General features: G+C 35.5%; 1 annotated feature.

Moving 5' to 3' along the window:
* Window positions 5,668-6,184: an enhancer, noted in NCBI's record as "OCT4-NANOG hESC enhancer chr5:25500627-25501143 (GRCh37/hg19 assembly coordinates)". NCBI's record gives its function as "activates a minimal SCP1, AML or CMV promoter by ChIP-STARR-seq in naive H9 embryonic stem cells {active_cell/tissue: H9 hESC(naive)}" and the evidence as "EXISTENCE:reporter gene assay evidence [ECO:0000049][PMID:30033119]".

The raw sequence follows: 7,046 nt of genomic DNA, 5'->3' as shown, positions 1-7,046 counted from the left end.
AGTTTACTGTAACATTTATATACCATGATATTCCCTTTTCTTTAGCGTCAGAGAAGCTATGTGCAAGGGGAATATTAGGAATTAGCTTGAATCTCTTAAAATAGTTATCTAGGCCATCATCACAAAATTGAAGGCATGCAACCCATGGGATTTATAGGATAATTCATTGTGATTGTGGTACAGGAATTGTACATTATAAATTTACATATGTGTGTCCGTGTGGTGAGTATGTACAGAAACACATATAGAATCATATTCTTTAATGTCTATCTTATCTGTACATTAAAATATAAAAAGTCTATATGGGTTTGGTATTATACCTACAGTTTTTCAACATCATAAGTAAGTATGGAGATAGTGGAAGTTAATGTTCCAATTTTTAATTTACTAATAGGAGTGTATGGATAAAAAAGTTTTCGAGATCATTGATCTAATCAAAAAGAAATACAAAATTAAACATTTACTTGTAGTTAATTAGATGATCAATCAATCTGTCAGGAAGATAACTGCTAAATTGTTAATATTGGATTAGAATATGGGGAGGCAGACATAATTTGCCAGCATAATTTGCATGATTTAAAATATAAGCCTTGGACTTCCAGCTTCTGGTCTGGCATGTGAGAAGCCTGGAAGTCATTAATCCATCCTAACAACTAGTAAAGACTGAACAAACTGAGAAATCAATAATTCTTCTTAGATCTGTCAGAGAAGAGAGGTCATAGGACAAACTTCAGCCCTCAAAACTGGAAATACAGACAGGCAGATTCAGAATATCACAACTTACTGGAGCCAAAACCTATAAGAAACTTCTGCAGGAACCAGTGTGGGGGTAGAAAAATCTAAACTGTAATCTACAGATTACTAGGCCTCAGTGTGGCAAGTTTTAGTTAAAATCTGCAGAGGGACCCAGACTAAGGAGATACCCACACTTTTCTGACTTTTATTTCCAGGTGCTCAACCAGACTCCCACAGTGAGCACTGGAGAAAAAAATCCTCTCCTGCTTTTAGTCAGGAGAGAGGGGAGTAGCCATTCTGAAATAACACCAGAACTTTCTGTTCTCCTAAACAAGACCTGCTCTCAAGAGAAACTGTTTTACCCAGGTTTAAGCTATGGGCTATTTTTTAATTTTCAGAGCCTAGCCTACCTGGGAGATAGGAAATAACTAATTCCAGTCTACTCTAGCCTATCACGTGAGAGATGGAAAATGCCTGCTATAGTTTGTCTGTGTTCCCCTCCAAATCTCATCTTGAATTCCCACCTGTTGTGGGAAGGACCTGGTGGGAGGTAATTGAATCATGGCGTCAGGTCTTTCCCTTGCCGTTCTTTTGATAGTGAGTAAGTCTCACTGGATCTGATGGTTTTAAAAAGGGGAGTTTCCCTGCACAAGCTCTCTCTTTGCCTTCCACCATCCATGTCAAACATGACTTGTTCCTCCTTTCCTTCTGCCATGATTATGAGGCCTCCCCAGCTATGTGGAACTGTAAGTCCATTAAAACTCTTTCTTTTGTAAATTGCGAAGTCTTGGGTATGTCTTTATCTGCAGTAAGAAAATGGACTAATACAGCATCCAACTCCAGCACTCTCAAGCCTAAGTAGGCTTCCTGTCCCACCTAAAAGATGTGTGTGTGTGTGTGTGTGTGTGTGTGTGTGGAAGAGGAATGAGAACCTGTGAAGTTCACAGTCCAGAGACACAGGCTCACTAAAAGACTGAGACCTAGTTAGAGATCTACAGAATTCCTCAACCACCACACTTTTCCACATTACAATACTAAATACCTAATTTATCACAGTTCTTTTTATCCAATACTCTATGTCCAGCTATCAATAAAAACTTATGAGAAATACTAAATGTAAAAAACAGTTTGAAGAGACATAATGAGTATCAGAAGCAGACATAGATGTGGTGGGGGTGACAGAATTATGAGACATGAATTTAAAATAACTATGATTAATACAGTAAGAACTCTAATGGACAAAGTTGACAGCATCCAAGAACAGGAAGGCAATGTAAACAGAGAGATTTACATATGTTGTTTGCACACACACACACACACACACACACACACACACTTTAAATATGAAAATCCATGTAGATTCAAACTAAATACATTAGAAAGATTTACCACACTAACTCTAATCAAAATAAAGGTAGAATAACTATATTAATTTCATACAGAGCAGACGTCAGAGTAATAAAATTATCAGAGATTAAATTGGAGAATTACATAAAGATAAAATGGTCAATTCTCCAAGAAGACATAACAATCTTTAATGTGTATATGCTTAACAACAGAATGTCAAAATATATGAGGCAAAAACTAATAGAAATGCAGGGAGAAATTGATAAATCTATTAAGATGATTTGAGACTTTAATACCCCTCTGTAAGAAACGAATAGATCCAGAAGCCAAAAAAATTGTAAGAATATAGCTGAATTCAACAACACCATCAATTAACTGAACATAAGTAACATCTATCAACTACTTCATTCAAAAATGGCAGACTACACGTTCTCAAAACTCACATGGAACGTTCAGTAAGACGAACCACACATTCTGGGCCATAAATTCACCTTATCAATTCACTGTTTTTTAAAAGTAGAAATTATGCAATGTTTTCCTCAGACCACAATGATATCAAACTGATATTAATCAGCAACAGAATGAAAGCTGAAAAATACACATCTGAATAACACATGAATCAAAAAAGAAATCTCAAAAGAAATTAAAAGAACATTTAAACAAAATAAAAATGTGAATGCAACCTATCAAAAGCTATGGTATGTAGAAAAAGCAGCGCTTAGAGGAAAATGGATAGCATGAATGTCTATATTAGAAGAGAAGAAAAATATGAAATGAATAATCTTTCACATTAAAAATATAAGAATAAGAACAAATTAATTTCAAAGTAGAAATCATTAAAACTCAAAACAGGGAATAAATATAGAAATACGATGAAGACCAAATATGGTTCTTAGAGAAAAAAAAATATAAAATCAATAAGCCTCTAAACAGACTATGAAATAAAGGAAAAATATACAAATTACTAAAAATCAAAAGTGAGGAATGGGATATCACTATACATCAAGTATATGAACAACTCTGTGCCCATAAATTTGGTATCATGGATAAAATGGAACAATTTCATGATAGACATAATCTACCAAGGCTCACACAAAATGAAACAGGCAATTTGAATAGGCTTGTTGCTATTAAAATAACTGAATAAGTAATTAATGACTTTGCAAGACAGAAACACCAGAACCAGATGTATTCTATTATAAATTCTACCAAAAATTTAAGGAAGAAATTATGCTCTTATCTAAAATCTCTTTCAGAATACAGAAGCAGAGAGAATACTTGTTAGTGCATCCTCTGCAGTCAGTATTACAAAATGCCAAAAATAGACAAAAACATTAAAAGAAATGAAAACTACATACCAATATCTCTCATGAACATGGACACAAAAGTTCTCAACAAAATGTTAGCAAATCAAATTCAGCAATATATAAAAAGGATTATAGACTCCAACCAAGTGGCATTTATACCAGGTATGTAAGGTTGGTTCAACATTTAAAAATCAATTTGTGTAATCCATCACATCAACAAATTAAAGAACAGAAATCACATGATCCTATCAATAGATGCAGGAAAAGCACTTGATTTCTGGCTGTGTGGCTCAATGGATAGTGCATTGAACTTCTAGAGACAAAAAGCACTTGACAAAATCCAACATCTATTTATGACAAAAAAGAAAACAAAAACAAAAAGCTACAACTTCTCGGTAAACTATATATACAGGAAGACTTTTTTCAACTTGATAACGAAACAGACAAACAAAAACCACACACACACAAACTGACATCATACTTACTGGTAAGAAACTAGAAGTTTTCCACTAAAAAACAAGGCAAGGATGTCCCCTCCCCACTCCTTTTTAACAATGTAGTAATAGTCCTAGCTAATGTAATAATTCAATAAAAGGAAATAAAAGGTATACTGATTGGAAAGGAAGAACATATTTTTTTCTGGAAAAGATGATCATCTATTTAGAAACTGCAAAGTGATTGATCCAAAACTTCCTAGAACTAGTAAGGGATTACAGGAAAGTTGTAGGATGCAGGGTTAATATTAAAAAGCCAATGCATTTCTTTACACCAGAAATAAATAAGTGGAATGTGAAATTTAAAACATGGTACTATTTAAAGAAGCACTCCCAAAAATAAAATATGTAAGTATAGGTCTAACAAAATATGTACAAATTCTATATGAGGAAAACTATAAAGCTCTGATAAAAGACATCCAAGAAGGACTAAATAAATTAATATATATTCCATGTTCATTGATAGAAAAACTCAATATTGCCAAGATATCATCTCTTCCAAACTGGATTTATACCTTCAAAGCAATTCCAAACAAAATCCCAGCAATTATTTCGTGAATATTCAAAATACAGTCTCACATAAACATAGTCAACTGATTTTTCACAAAGGAGCTAAGTCAATCAGTAACAATGGAGAAAATGTAGTTCCTTTTTTTTTTTTTTTTTTTTTTGAGGTGGAGTCTCGCTCTGTTGCTCAGGCTGGAGTGCAGTGGAGCAATCTTGGCTCACCACAACCTCCGTCTCCCAGGTTCAAGCAATTCTCCTGCCTTAGCTTCCCGAGTAGCTGGGACTACAGGCTGTGCACCACCGTGCCCAGCTAATTTTTGTATTTTTAGTAGAGATGGGGTTTCACTGTGTTGGCCAGGCTGGTCTTGAACTCCTGACCTAGGGTTCTGCCTGCCTCGGCCTCCCAAAGTGCTGGGATTACTGGCATGAGCCACTGCTCCTGGACTGTTTTTTTTTTTTTTTTTTTTTTTTGAGACACAGTTTCACTCTTGCTGTCCAGGCTAGAGTGCAAGGCACAATCTCGGCTCACTGCAACCTCCGCCGCCCGGGTTCAAGTGATTCTCCTGCCTCAGCTTCCCGAGTAGCTAAGATTACAGGTGCCTGCCACCATGCCTAGCTAATTTTTTTGTATTTTTAGTAGAGACGGAGTTTCACCATGTTGGCCAGGATGGTCTCGAACCCCTGACCTCAGGTGATCCACCTGCCTTGGCCTCCCAAAGGGCTGGGATTATAGGCATGAGCCATCCGTGCCTGGCCCATCCAAAATATTTTTAAAAGCCACTTAAAATTTAACAATAACAAAGTAACACTGACTGAAAAATGGGCAAAAATACCTTACTAAGTAAGATATAAATATGGCCAGTAAGCAAATGGTAAAATGCTCAACGTAATGTGTTGTTAGAGAATTACAAACTATAGCAACAATGGGATATCACTACACACCTATTAGAGAGGCCAAAATCCACCACAATGACAACACCAAACACTGAGAAGGAAATGGAGCATCAGGAACTCTCATTCACTGCTGGTGGGAATGCAAAGTAATACGGCCACTTTGGAAGACAGCTTGGGAGATGGTTCTTACAAATTAAACATATAATCTAGCAACTAGTTTCTTTGGTATTTATTTACCCAAATGAGTTGAAATTTATGTCTATTCAAAAACCTACACATAATTGTTTACAGAAGATTGATTCATAATTGCCAAAACTTGGAAGCAACCAGATGTCCTGCAGTAGGTAAAAGGATAAATAAACTGTGATATGTATAGACAGTGGAATTTTATTCAGCATTGCCTTAGACTATCTTTGCTACTCTAATACAATACCACAAACTGGGTAATTTATAAAGAACAGAAATTTATTTCTCACAGTTCTAAAGGCTGTAAGTCCAAGATCAAAGTGCCAGCATTTGGTATCTGGTGACTGCCTTCTTGCTGAATATTCACATGGCAGAAGGAAGAAGAGAGGTTGAATGATGTGTCTTCACATAACAAAAGATCAAAGGAAAAAGCTGACAAGCCAGCCATATCCTGAGTGAAGCTTCTTTTATAAAGACCTAATCCCACCAATAAGGAAGGAGTCCTCAGAGTTTAATCACCTCTTAAAACCCACATCTTAATATTATCACATTAACAACACGTAAATTTTGAAGGGGAGACATGCAAACTATAGCAAACATTAAAAGGAAGTTAGCTATTTAGGCATGAAAATACATGGGGGATCCCTAAATGCATACTGCTTAATTTCAAAAGTCTATCTGCAAAGGCTACAACTATGTTAGTTCAATCATAAGATATTTTAGAAAAGGCAAAATTGTGGAGACAGTAAAGGCTCAATTATTGCCAGGAGTTAGAGGGGAGAGAGGGAAGAAGGTATAAACAGGTGGAACACAGATAAATTTTAGGCAGTGAAAATAATCTGCATAATATATAATGGTAGATACACGTCATTATACATATGTCCCAACCCATTGAATGTACAACACCAACAGTAAACCTCAATGTAAACTACAGACTTTTGGTGAGAATGATGTGGCAATATAGGTTCATTGATTGTAATAAATGTATCACTTTTGTGCAGGAATTGGATAGTGGAGGAAGCTGTGCATATGTGGGTCAGGGAGTACATGAGACATCTCTCTACCTTTCTACTCATATTTGTGTGGATGTAAAATTGCCGTAAAAAATAAATTCCATCCATATACATATAAATTATATACATATTAAATTCAAGAGTTATGTGTGTGTATAAGGAATGAGTCTGGTGTGGGACAATGTCTGAAGAAACCTTAGGGAAAAGACTACTGGAATAGAATTTCTATGTGGCAAATAAAGAAAGAGGGTAGCAATGGGTGCACACGCACGCACACACACACACACGTGAAGTTGAATGTTAAATGTTTAACATTGCGTGTTCATACATTGTTTCCTGTCTTCCTTGGTACAGTAAATTAATTCCATGAGGGATGAAATGTGATTTTAAAAATCTGGCTTCAGTTTGCAACCCTTAACTTAGTGCGTATTTTTCCTTGAGATATTTCATCAGTGTGCTTGAATAAGCTGTCTTTAAAATAAAATAACAGTAATTAGTTACATATAAAAATCATGATATAAGTTAATTGAGAGAGATATGAATGTACAATCTCTACAGTACTA

Source organism: Homo sapiens, chromosome 5 (assembly GCF_000001405.40).
Source record: "Homo sapiens chromosome 5, GRCh38.p14 Primary Assembly".
Classification (NCBI taxonomy): domain Eukaryota; kingdom Metazoa; phylum Chordata; class Mammalia; order Primates; family Hominidae; genus Homo; species Homo sapiens.
Note: the sequence above shows the minus strand (reverse complement) of the source record. Positions and strands in the feature narration are given on the sequence as shown.